At 45.4% G+C, this 12,994-nt stretch overlaps 1 protein-coding gene across 1 annotated transcript in view, besides 1 other annotated feature; it reads left to right on the forward strand.

Moving 5' to 3' along the window:
- Positions 1–12,994, forward strand: part of CACNA2D3 (calcium voltage-gated channel auxiliary subunit alpha2delta 3) — a 952,006-nt gene that overhangs the window by 386,216 nt on the left and 552,796 nt on the right. The window lies entirely within an intron of this gene.
- Positions 8,576–9,076: an enhancer, noted in NCBI's record as "H3K4me1 hESC enhancer chr3:54551370-54551870 (GRCh37/hg19 assembly coordinates)". NCBI's record gives its function as "activates a minimal SCP1, AML or CMV promoter by ChIP-STARR-seq in primed H9 embryonic stem cells {active_cell/tissue: H9 hESC(primed)}" and the evidence as "EXISTENCE:reporter gene assay evidence [ECO:0000049][PMID:30033119]".

Raw genomic sequence — 12,994 nt, forward strand, 5'->3', positions numbered from 1 at the left:
GTCGGGCTGGGAAAACTGGGCTGCAAAGCTACATTGTGCTCAGGGTCCAGCCCCTGAAAATGAAAAGAGCTCCAGGAAAGGGAAGACCTGTAACCACCACTGCAGAGCATGAGAAATCAGTCTGTCTGTTACAGTCCAATAGGTTCTTCTAAAAAGCCCAAGAAAAGGGCAGAAGTCTGATGAGATGGCATTGGGTCCCCTGCTTAGGAGCAGAGTATGCAGGCTGCTGGAGGGATGGGCAGGGTTGCTGAATTTGGATTTGTCAGATGTCTCAACCTATTTTTCAAATGTTGAGCTTGATAAAACACAAAATGCATTTTGCCAGGCACTTTTCCCCTTAATTACATGTGTATATTTTAAGGAAAATTTAATCCATATGTTTCTGATTCGTTTACACGGAAATCATTAAAATATTGTTTTCCAAGAGCTATTTGATGTGCAAGAAGGCTCACAAACCTTATAAAAAGCTGTTTAAAATTTTTTCCTTTCCCTTTGTTTCTTTTCCCTTCACGTGTGTGTGTGTTTGTGTGTGTGTGTGTGTGTGTTTGAGAGAGAGGGAGAGAGAGCACACGCACATAAGTGAACAAGAGTGACTGACCCCAGGATGTCAGAAACAAATTCCAACTTGAAATGGATTTTCTTCTCAGGATTCTGAACTAAAGCATTTGGATTAGGCTCCAATCTTGCTTCCTTGTTGTCTCCCAGCCCTAATGGAATGTGATGATGATATGGCCATAACTTGGTATTGGGAGTCAAGATCAGAGGAATTACACCAGAGCACATTGCTCTGGACCTAGAGAAATAACACTCGAGAACCTCCTCGCACATGGTCTGTTGGTACCTACAGTCCTCAGCAAGGCCCAGGAAACTTTCCCAAGATGTAGTTTGGATTCCAGGAACCCCTATTCCAGCAATATGAGCATAATAGGACTAAGGCATTTGGTAAGAAACATACAAGATAGTGCCACTGAAGTAACTCCACAGCTGTCATCCCAAATTTACTCATAGTTTTTCTCTTCTAGTTTGGAAATTATATTTTATATGGCAAAATAACTATCCCTGACTTAAAATTCACAAGTTGAGTGGCTGAGTTCAAGTCTATTGGCAATGCCTCCATACTTCTGCATGTGTATGTGGCACAATAGGTCTGCAGAGATGTATATGTGTGTATGCATAGGTTTGTGTCTGTATTTTCTCAGAAGTTGTATTAGTAGAAGGAAGGTGTGATTTGGCCCTTTGTGGCTCCTCAGTCCTATGCTTAGGCTTATGTTTAGCCTGGAAGTTGCATTTCATGAATGAGTAGGTGGATGGATGGATAAATGGATGGATGGATGAATAGATGGATGGACACATGCATAGGTAGATGGATGGATGAATGGATGGATGAATGGATGAAGGGTGGGTGAGTGAGTGGAGGGATGGATGGATGGATGGGTAGGTGGGGGAATGGATGGATGGATGGATGGATGAATGGATGAATGGATGAAGGGTGGGTCGGTGAGTGGATGGATGGATGGATGAGTGGATTACTTACCAACAGCCATGCTCTGTAGTGAGGACTTTCAGTGCATTATCTCATTGACAATGACCCCATGTGTTATAGAAGCAGTGGGGACCACCATTCTCCAAGGCAATTCTTCCACAGCCTCTGTTCTAGAGTCAGGTCCAGGGAAGTTACCTGGGGCAAAACTCAAAGGCATCACTTTAGGTACAGGTGATTCTTTCCCAAAATCCAAGTGAGAAAAGAGTTTATGCTTCCTGCCTAAGGCTCTCTGAAGCACTGTTCCTGTCCCCTGGTTCCCTTTTCACCTGGGTCACTGTCCCTTGCCATCCCCATCATCTCTGTTCTTGTCTACCATGGAGCTCTTCCCAGAGCTATCAAGGAGTCTTTGGAGATTGGCAGGCCTGGGCTTGTATCCAGTGCTATGAGTATCAGCATGGTGGACTAGAAAGGGCATTTCACTCTTGGGCCCTCTGTTTCTTCATCTGTAAGATGTAAATTGTCATTTTGAGCATTAAAGAAAGTGAAGGTGCAGCATCCAGCAGAACACCTGGCACACGGAGGAATTTGATACACATTGATTCCTCACACTGACTCAGCTCCCAGCAAACCAGATGGGTTACCGTCACTGTCCTGCCAAAAATATGTAGGGGATGCTCTTCCCCAAGCCCAGACCCCTTCCATTCAGCCCTGTTTGTAGAATGAAGTGCAAACACGCTCACAAACCAGCTCTGGTTTACTGTCCTCTTTTCCTGGCTACCCCATTCCCCCTCTTCCTGGTCATGCTAGATCCCAGGATTCCAGACTCTCTGAAGACCTTTGCTTAGGCTCTGACCTCCTGCTGAGGGTACTGTCCTTTCTCCATTCTGGAAAGACCTGTCCTTTCCTGAGAGCCTGGCTCCATGGCTGCCATGTCTTTCCCTCTGGCCCTAGCCCTCCTCTCCAGAAACATCCTCTGCCCCCTCATTTATGCCCCCGTGTGGGGGTTTTGTCTCTCCTTCTGTTAGATTATTCATCACATTTTTCAGCAGTTTCTTTTTCACTGCACTCTCCTCCCTTGAACTTGGAGGCAGGGGCTGTGTTTTTTTTTTCATTCCCTTGGGACCATAGCAGAGGACCTGGAATAGAAATGCGCTTCTAAGGATGTTGTTGAATTGAACTGAATCCTCTTATTACAGGCCATCACAAATGGTTGTTGTTTTATCTGCTTGTTGGTTCTGTCAACTCTTCTTCTATTTAAATTTTGATTCTTGTTTGTTTCTGAAGACAGTAATTTTAGATGTATACCTAATGAAGTAATTACTTTCAGGATCTAATTTGTTTGTATTTTTAATCTCTTTTTTCAAAGGAATGGGAGTCCAGATGGAGTCTCGCAGTTGGATAGGAGCTGCACCTAGGCTAGAGAAATTCTGAAAGGTGGTACCAGGAGCAGTAAAGGACAATGGGAGAGCAGGAATGGTTACTAATAGTGTTTTATTTCACCCTGGTGCCCCGACATTTGTGAAAGGTTACAGTAATAGTAGGGAGCTGGAGTTTGTAGATGATTTATTTTTAAAAAATGGCTTAGAGAAGTTTCAAGGTTACTTCTATGATAACTTCAGGATCAAGCACTTGCTTTCTGTGTTTTGCCTGGGAAGGAGAAGGGTGGAGCCACCTTCAGCACCGTGAAAATTGCAGCAGCAACTGTTGCAGCCTGTGGTGGCAGTCAAGTATGTTCCAGTGGGGGAAAGAGATTAAGAGCTACTGTCCCTGGGCTGACTCAGTTAGTTATATATGCCACAGGTCCCCCTGTTTGAGAAAGGGATTGCCTTGCTGAGGGAAATGCAGACTAGACTTCCAGGATTTAAGAAGCACGGTAGAGACCAGTAGATGGTCTGCAGGTGGCTCCCAGGCCTCCTCAGGAATGCTAGCCAGGTGCCCTGGCCAGCCATCGGGCTCGCACAGGGTGTGTGGTATGAATGTGAATATAATATATCCTTGCTGCCTCCATGTTGACCCTACTCCCACAAAAGGCTCAGACCATGCTTCTTGCTTATCTGTGCAAAGACAATGATAGCACCTATCTCATGGGGGCTTTGTGAAGATAAAATGAAACAACGGATATTAAGCATTTCAGACTACTGTGTAACAAAAGTTTACTGAGAGCTCAATTGTTAGTATTGTTATAAGAATGATGATAGTGACACCGGGTCCCCCACAGTGGCATGGCTTATGCCTGGGAATATCTCTGATCCTGAGCCAGGTAGCCTTCCTTTTTCTCCTGCACCTTGGAAACCCTTTTTTCACTGCAGTTGTACATCAAGAAATTCAGTGAAGGGAGGACAATGTGGAGGTAGAGTTGCTGGGTCAGAGGCTGACAAGCACCCTGGCAGGTGGCTCAGTCTTTGATACCTGCACCTGCTCTCCACCCACCTGCTCATGATGCATGGATGTGGTGAACCTCTGTGTGTCCATGTCCTACTTCTTAGGCCACTTTGCTCCCAGGAAGCTTGGTGTCTATGTCAGTGAAAGGCTGTAGGGCTTCGTATTAGTCTGTTTTCATACTGCTGATAAAGACATACCTGAGACTGGGAAGAAAAAGAGGTTTAATGGACTTACAGTTCCACATGGCTGGGGAGGCCTCACAGTCATGGCGGAAGGCAAGGAGGAGCAAGTCACATCTTACATGGACGGCAGCAGGCAAAGAGAGAGCTTGTGCCGGGAAACTCCTCCTTATAAAACCATCAGATCTCGTGAGAGTTATTCACTATCATGAGAACAGCATGGGAAAAACCTGCCCCATGATTCAATTTCCTCCCCCCAGGTCCCTCCCACAACACATGGGAATTCAAGATGAGATTTGGGCGGGGACACAGCCAAACCATATCAGGCTTTAAGTAATGCTCTGCTTTCCTTTTGCTGGTAACTCTTAGAAGGACCTGGGGGCCCTCAGATGTTTGGAAGCAATAGCTTCCAGGGACATAAAGAAAATCTTTTCATTTTTTACACTCTTTTACTCTTCCCAAATCCAAGCTGATGGAAACTTCTGTCCAGAACACACTATCTACTCATTGACCTTAGAGACACTCACCTGTGCCTTAGTCAACTGATGCCTCCATCAGTTTCTTTTCCTTCAGGTAACATTTTTGTGGTGCTTACTATGTTTCAGGCATAATATGATCTCATACAATGCAATCCTACCCCAACTCACTGAAGCAGGAACCATTACTAATTCCCACTTTAGAGGTGAGAAAACTGAGGCTTAGAGACTTGCTCAGAATTACTCAGCTAGCAAAGTGGGCAATCAGCATGCAAGCCTAATACTTTGGCTTTAGAACCACCCGGGCTCCACACTGCCTCCCTATACTGTGCATCTCCACCACCCTGATGGCTGAGTTTTCAGCTAGCTATGTCATGCCTGTTTTTGTTTGTTTGTTTGTTTGTTTGTTTTGAGATGGAGTATCACTCTGTCACCCAGGCTGGAGTGCAGTGGTGCGATCTCAGCTCATTGCAACCTCTGCCTCCTGGGTTCAAGTGATTCTACTGCCTCAGCCCCCCAAGTAGCTGGGTTTACAGGTGCACATCACCATGCCCAGATAATTTTTGTATTTTTATCAGAGACACCATGTTGGCCAGGCTGGCCTCGAACTCCTGACCTCAAGTGATCCACCTGCCTTGGCCTCCCAAAGTGCTGGGATTACAGGCATGAGCCACCGCACCCAGCCGTCATGCCTGTTTATATGCACACTTTATATGTGCGGCAAATGGAAGGCCCTGTTTTTGTCAAATTGTGCTATTTTCATCTCAGCATATGAAAATCCATCATAAATGAAAACTAGTCTTATTTTACATAAACACTTCCAATTTCTTCCCTTTATGAAAATAATGTTGCAGCAAAGAGTCGTTTTAAAAATGGGAGGCAAATTCTGCATCAGAATGCCAATGGGTACCAACTGCTCACACATAGGGGATATTTCTGTTGGGAATGAGACAGTTCCACATTTAATCCTGCAAACTTGCCATACCAAAATATGTCTAAGAGAAGTGAGTAAGGAGGTGATGATGATCAGAATGCAAAAAGGCTCTTCTCCTTGCCAGAAAGTTCACTGCAGTGTGTTTAGGAGAAGTGAATTCCTCCACTATAGCAACTGGAATGGCATTTGCAGAACTGGGTTCTGTGGGACACTGCCACCATCTATTGATTTAATAAATATTCGTGGAGCACCTCTAGCATGCCAGACGCTGCATGGGTGTGAGGAGGTGTGGTGAGAGATGAGCAGACTCTGCCCATGCTCTCTTGGAGCTTACAGGTCAGTGGGAAGGCAGGCGGGAAGTCAGCACACAGCTGGGCATATGATGCACCCGGAGGAAATGCTGTGGAGGAAAGGGTTGTGGTACAGTAAGAGTGTATCCCACAGCAGCTCAGCCTGGGTGAACTGGGAAGGTGGGGGTGGCCACGGGCAGAGGACACTTAGGCCCGCTGCCATCTGAAGGATGGGTAGGAAATAATTTAGCCAGGGGCTGGGGTGGGGTGGGAGGTGGAGAATATTGCAGTGGGAGAGAACACACCACACAAGCTATTGGTAAGTAGTCCTTCACAGAATGTTTTGGGTTGAAATAAGGGAGGGTGATGCCTTGGAGAATCTACCGCTTGTGCCATTGCACTATCTACCTGAGATGTTCAAGGAATACGAATTTCTACTGTAGAAAAAGAAAGCCGTTCAATCTGATGCATCAGCTTTTCCCTAAGTTACTTGATTATGGCATCCTTTTATCATGGAACGTCTCAGAAGGTATGGACGTTTCCTGGGACCAAGAGATTCTGCTGAGCTGGAACTCCCTGTGCTCAAGAGAAAGGTCCCAAAGGTGCCCAGCAAGTGACAAAGATGCAGAAGAAAATGCATAGTAAAATCCGTGTGTGTGTGTCTGTGTGTGTGTGTGTGTGTGTGTGTGAGAGAGAGAGAGAGAGAGAGAAAGAGAGAGAGGATATAAGTGGTTGTATATGCAGAAGATTTCTGGAGAGATGTTCAGGAAATTAATAGCGCTGACTTTCCACTTTCTACCCTTCTGTTCAGTTTGAATATTTTATGAGGAACATGTGCTGCTTTTTTAGTAATTAAAAATGAAAGAACTAAAGAAGTTGAGTTACAAAGCTGCGCCCATCTACAAGTTAGTTGTTCAGAGAACACAGCTATCTGATAAAAGGAAATACGCCTGCATGTAAATTGTTAATGGCTTCCCAGGTGCTAGCTTTCTCTGCTTTGTGGTGAAAATGGCCAACAGTAGTTTTGTTAGAGGTAGCAGAACGCCCAAGTAAGTTGTTTCTGGCAGTCAGTGCAGATGCTACCTTTGCAGGAGATTGTGTTAAGTTTCATACTGTGTCCTTATGGTGGCAGTAGTTATTTTAAGATGAATGATGTTGGCCTGGGAAAAGAGAAATGGTTTCCCTCTAAAATGATTCTGTGATACTCTAGTCATCTGCCGATGGGTGTCACAGACATGGAAATGCCCTGCCTCAAATATGAAGAACATTCTGCACTTGGGAAAAAAATATGTCAGTGCTTCCAAGGGTCACACTGGAAACTGGGATTAGAAGTGAGGTTTTCTTGTCTCAAGAAGTGACTGTGCAGTCCCATTTGTTCTCTCACTGACAGAGAACTTTCAAGAGGACTTTGTGAAGCACCTGTTCCTGGGCCTCAGTGGACCCTCGAGATGGGAGGCCCAGGGCTAAGTGGCCAAGAGTGCAGCAGCCAGTCTCCTCTGCTTAGATCCATTGTCAAAGGCCACATCCTGGAGCCTGACATGCATCAGGGACATGTGTCATTGGGGGTTTGGGCCAGGGGTTCCTTGTAGGCCATCTTCACTACCTGATGAATGCCTGACAACAGCACAGGTGGGCTTTGGGGATAAGGTGCCCTCTCTCAGGGATGTTCTCTGCTCAGGGCCACCAGTTCCTTAAGATGACATTTGAAAGTTCACACCTCAGATAGGTGAGTTTCTAGTACAAATGACTTGATGACCTTTCTTATTTCTGAAGACATCACAGGCTGCCCCGTGTGGCAGTGCCATTTCATCATCTCCAAAGTGCCACCGTCTGAACTCTTCCTTCATTCTTAAGTGACAGAGGTATTTCTGTACATTTCTGATGTTTTTCTTTTTTCCACCCTCACTTCACGGTGGTAGAACAATTCTGGAGTGGTTTCTACTTCAACAACTGCTGCTGTGCTGTTTCATGCCCACACATGTAGATATTTGCATGTCTCCATAGGCATAGAGATGCAACACACTGGTACTTTATCATCTGGCAGGTGGACTGATCCACATCTTAGAGATCAATAAAATGGCCTACAGAGATTGAGGGTGCATAACTTTCAGACTGGAGTGAAAAGTCTCTGGGTTCCAAGTCTGGTTGCCCACTAGTGCTTTGAAGCAGAGCCCCAGCGGTTGAGTCCACGCGACCACATCTTCACCCGTGTCTACTTTATTCAAGTCCCAGGCTGGATGTGGGGAAATTGGATCAGAACTGACTTTCAGAGACTTTTCTGGGGTAGATTTTCATGTTCTCTACTCACTGCTATCAAAGGCAGGGTGGGAGGAGGGGAATTAGCAAGACAAAGTGCCCCCAAAATCCAGATGAAGAGGTGATGAAGGGCTGTCTGTTGGGTCTGCAGGCTCAGGACCAGTCGGGGTACCTGTGATAGACCAGCACTAGTGAGATAGTGGAAGTTTCCCCCTGCAGGAGTGGGAGCCCCAGAAAAGGCTGAGTTGGGTGGTGGTGATTTGCTTTTTCACAAACCACTTTATAGTAGTCCCTTCTAAGGATCACACGGATTTGGGTGGTGGTGATTTGCTTTTCCACAAACCACCTTACAGATGAGAAGACGCAGGCTCAAGAAGGTTAGTTATTTCTTCAAGTGTGAATTTGGATCCAGGTCTGCCTGTTGTCCTAGCTGCGTTGCTTAAGTGGGCAAAAAGAGACTCCCCTCGAGCAGTGGCTTGGGAGAAGCCCAACCCCCAGGCTGCTCCTCATTGATGAAGAGGAAAGGTTTTCTTGGATCCGCCTGGTCAAAGCCAGATTAGAGTGTAGCCATGGCTAGTTCTTAATGACAGTTTCTGCAGCACAGGCTGACCTCAGCTAGGAAGCATTGGTGTGGGTATGCTAGTGGTTCAGATAGTGAAACGATGTGTGTGATTGGTAAATGACATAGCTCCAAGACCCTCGCCCCAGGGCCTCTTGTCCACCCCAGCCCCTCCCCACAACTGAGGAGTCAGCATCGCAGACCACAGGCTGTGCCCACCTGCTGCACAGGCTGTAAACACTGAGTATCACCCAGGTGTAGAGCTGTTGCGTTCCTTCAACTACAATATAACGTGGTTTACTGACAGTGACGTCAGCAGTAGGTAAATGTGCGTCTTCTCTTCATGCCCAACAGAGGTTCTGCCTCTTCTCTGAGGGGACTCCTGAGCCTCACAGGGCATCCAGGTGTCAGCTCACGTCTCCTGATGCCCCCAAGGCTGCCTTGCCTTGGGCTCACCTTCCTGTTGCTCCAACCCTGCCTCCCTCCTTGCTCTGCATGCCCTTGGAAGCTGGCTGACAAGGCTTCCAGGGCTGTCTCATAGCCAGTGGACCAGGACCCCACTGGGCTGAGGTACGAGCCTAAAGTTGCCCCGGGCATCCTACCATAAGAGGTCAGCCATCTACCTCAGCTTTGCAGCCCTCAGGACCCCTGGTGCTTGGGGAAGTCGTTCTGGGGCTGGGCTTTCCTGGTGTCTTTCCAACAAAGCACAGTGGGCTCCCATAAGTATCGTGAATGGAATATTTTCAGGGACTGACCACATCTGCAGAGGCTTCTTTACATTAAAACAGGGCTGGGGATGGGGGTGGAATTTTCCCCTGCTAAATGCAGAGCTGAGACTAACACTGTGTGTCAGCGTGGTTACGAGTGGTGGTTGGGGTCCCATCCCCGCTCCTCCCTTTGCTAGCTGTCAGACTGGACAAGTTAGCCAACTCCTGTGAGAGTTCCGTAAGGCCTGATACCCCTACAGCATGATGGGGAGAAGCTACCTGTGAGAAAGAATGGCAAGGAATGGTAGAGAGAGGGTAGGGGAAGTGAGGGGTGAGGAAGTGGGAGAGAGAGAGAGGGAAAGCAAGAGCAAGCACCTGGGGTTCCCCCCAGTGTCTGAGAAGTGCCCCTCTGAGAAGCACCGAGATGGGGTCACACAGAGTCCTGGCGTCTTCTTCATGCACCCAGCACCTGTGTGACCTGGGCCAGTCATCTGGGACCAGCTGTAGGCTCCTCTTGGCCTCAGCCACCCGACTCATTGTTTTTGTGCCTGGTATTCTTGATAACCTGATTCCAGAAATGCTCTCTGCTTATCCTGACACATTTTATTCTAGAGTTTTGGGTTTCTTTTCCTCTGTAGCTCATTCTAAGGAGTTCGATGAAGGAGATACTATGAGAAGTTGTTTCAACTGTCAAGATATGAAATATCTTTTGACATTTTTCAACCATTTTTCCCCTCCCAGATGTCACTTGAGTTAATAAAACAGGAAAGAAGACTTGGGGTTTGGTGGTTATTTTTTTTACTTATACAGGAAAAGCCATCTTCAGCCTATAAATATGGATTCTGTATAGAATATTTGAAAATGACATTTAGTAGCTAATGTGAGGAATTAACAAGTATATGTCCCTTGAGAAATTGAGGGGGGAGAAAAGGGACTCAGGGGATGAGGGTGGAAACCTAAGAACCTCACAGGGTGTGGGGGTCCGAGTGCCACCTGCACACGGAAGTCATGGTGACGAACATGCTCTGTGCATGTCTGCCTGCAGGGAGGGGCCTCTAGGTGCCAACTGTCCTCAGTTGACAGATGGGTGCCCTTTGGGGAGACATGAAATGCCTACACCTGTGAAATCTGCCATGTGTTGTGAAGGCCAGCCATTTCACACTCGTGGAGTCATCACTGAGAAAGAGGCTCCCCAGGGACTGGTTTCTAAGATGAGAGGTCAGTGTCCTGGTGTTAACAGTAATGACTTCTTAGCAAGGCAGGGGCTGTAAGAAAGCGGGGTTCACAGAGATGTGAGTAGGCCCGAACTGCCTTCCAGCCCAAATGCAATCTGGGGGACGCTCTGATCCCATTCACCCTCCACCATCTCACAGTGCTCTGGGTGACACCAGCGTTTGAGAGGCAGGGATGCCTCTTTTCCTATAATCAAAACCTATAGACTAACAGCCCCACCCCAGAGTGAATTGGAGATGAAGAAGTCAGACTGTTCAACAGTGCAGTAGGGAGTATTTTCTGAGCCTTGCCTCCTTTTCAGGCAACACAGCGGCAATGATAATATCTTTTCCTATTCTAAGCAGTGCCTTTCCCTAATAAATAGCTTAGTCGTAGGAGATATGTAATATACTTTCAGCTTGTGCCAGAAAGAGTCTTATCTCCCATTCCAGGCCTGTGGCATATATTTCTGTATAATGGATGGCCAACTTAGCAGGAATTGTTTCATACTCTGTGTCTGAAGGGATTTGGTTTATATTAGCTCAGCTGACAGAAATCTAAGTCAGATGTCCTGTTGACAAAGGATGGAGACCAAGATCTGATTTTAAATGGGCAGTGAGTATTAACTTGGTTGGTTGAAAAGCACAACATTACGCTGGCCCTGAATGGCTACGTTAAGGCCACTGGGGCCAGAACAGTGCCAGCCAAGAAGTGAAGCAAAGAGTTTGAACACACCTATTATATAAAGCTGTGTCTGCATTAAGAATAAAACCTCTTAAGATGGCAGATTGCAATATTGTGGAAACTAAAGTGGCCAGTGGAGACAAAGCTTGTTTTACAAAAGTGCAAGTTAACTTCCTAGTGGTTCCAGTATCCTTCTGCATAGATACTTCGGACTGAAGTTCATTACATGTGCAAAGGCTGATATTTAGTGAGTGCCCTAGTGCAGTTCTTCCTGGCCTTTCTCACATTATAACACTCTGGGGAAGCAAGATGAGGCAACTCTGTCAGAAGTACTGGACCAGCACCATCTCCCTTCCTGAGAGCCAAGGGAAGAGTGTCTTGGCCCAGCAGTGGGAGGCTGGCTTTAGTGTTTAATCTGAGAAGCAGATGAAGCTGGGTCATCACACAGCTAATTTCTGGATGATGCTCAGTGTATTTGTCCCAAACAAAAGAGCAGTTCTCAAAACCTAGAACTGACTCAGTCCGTGGACAGCATCAGGAAGGAGTAACCTTTTAGCTGTAGAGAGACAACCTGGGGAGCCTCTGGACACCAGAGGTTGGAGCAGAGGCTCTCATCTCAGTCACTTACTGATCAAAATCGCTCAGAGAGCTGCTGTAATTTTTCCTAACCCCTTTATTGAGATACAATTCACATAACATACAATTTGCCTGTTTAAAGTGTACAATTCAGTGGTTTTAGTGTATTCACAGATATTTGCAGCCATCAGTCACCATTACATTTTAGAGCATTTTCATCACCGCACAAAGAAACCCTGTACTCTTTGGCTATCGTTCCCTTGTCCCAACATTCACCCCACCCCTAAGCAACGAATGATCTTTCTGTCCCTATAGATTTACCTTTTCTGGATATTTTAGATAAATGTAATCATATTATATGTGAGCTTTTGTGACTGGCTTATTTCACTTAGCACAATGCTTTCAAGATTTTTCCATTTGTACCATATATCAGTATTCATTTCTTTTTATGGCAGAATAATATTCCATTGTACATAAATACTACATTTTGTTTATCCATTCATCTGTTGATGGGCACTTGGGTTGCTACTAACTTTTTGTCTATTATGAATAATGCTGCTAAGAACACTCACATTTTTCTGTGGATACATGTTTTCATTTCTCTTGGGTATATACCTAGAAATGGAATTGCTGGATCAAATTGTAACTCTGTGTTTTACTGTTTGAAAAACTATCAAAGCGGCTGCATCATTTTTGATTCTCACCAGTAATGTATGTAGGTTCAGATTTCTTATCTGACTTTTTGTCAGAAGGGTGAGAAGTGGTTTTGATTTGTATTTCTGTGATGACTAATGATTTCAAGGCTTCTTTTTATGTGCTTATTGACCATTTGAATATGCTCTTTGGAGAAATGTCTCTTTAGATCCTTTGTTCATCTTTAATCGGGTAGTCTTTTTATTATGGTGTTGTAAGAATTTTTTATGTATTCCAGATACAAGTCCCTTATCAAGAGATATGATTTGCAAATATTTTCTCTGATTCTGTGAGTTGTCTTTTTTGCTTTCTGGATGATGCTCTTTGAAGAACAAAAGGTTTTAATTTTGATGAAGTCCAATTTACCTATTTTTAAATTTTGTTACTCATACTATTGGTGTCATATCTAAGAATCTGTTGCCAAAGCTAAGGTCATGAAAATTTATTCCTGTGTTTTCTTGTAAGAGTTGTATAGTTTTAGCTCTTACATTTAGGCTTGTGCTCTATTTGAGTTTTTTGTATGAGTTCTATTTGAGTTTTTGTGTGAGGTAAGAGTCCAACCT

Source organism: Homo sapiens, chromosome 3 (genome assembly GCF_000001405.40).
Source record: "Homo sapiens chromosome 3, GRCh38.p14 Primary Assembly".
NCBI classification, from domain to species: domain Eukaryota; kingdom Metazoa; phylum Chordata; class Mammalia; order Primates; family Hominidae; genus Homo; species Homo sapiens.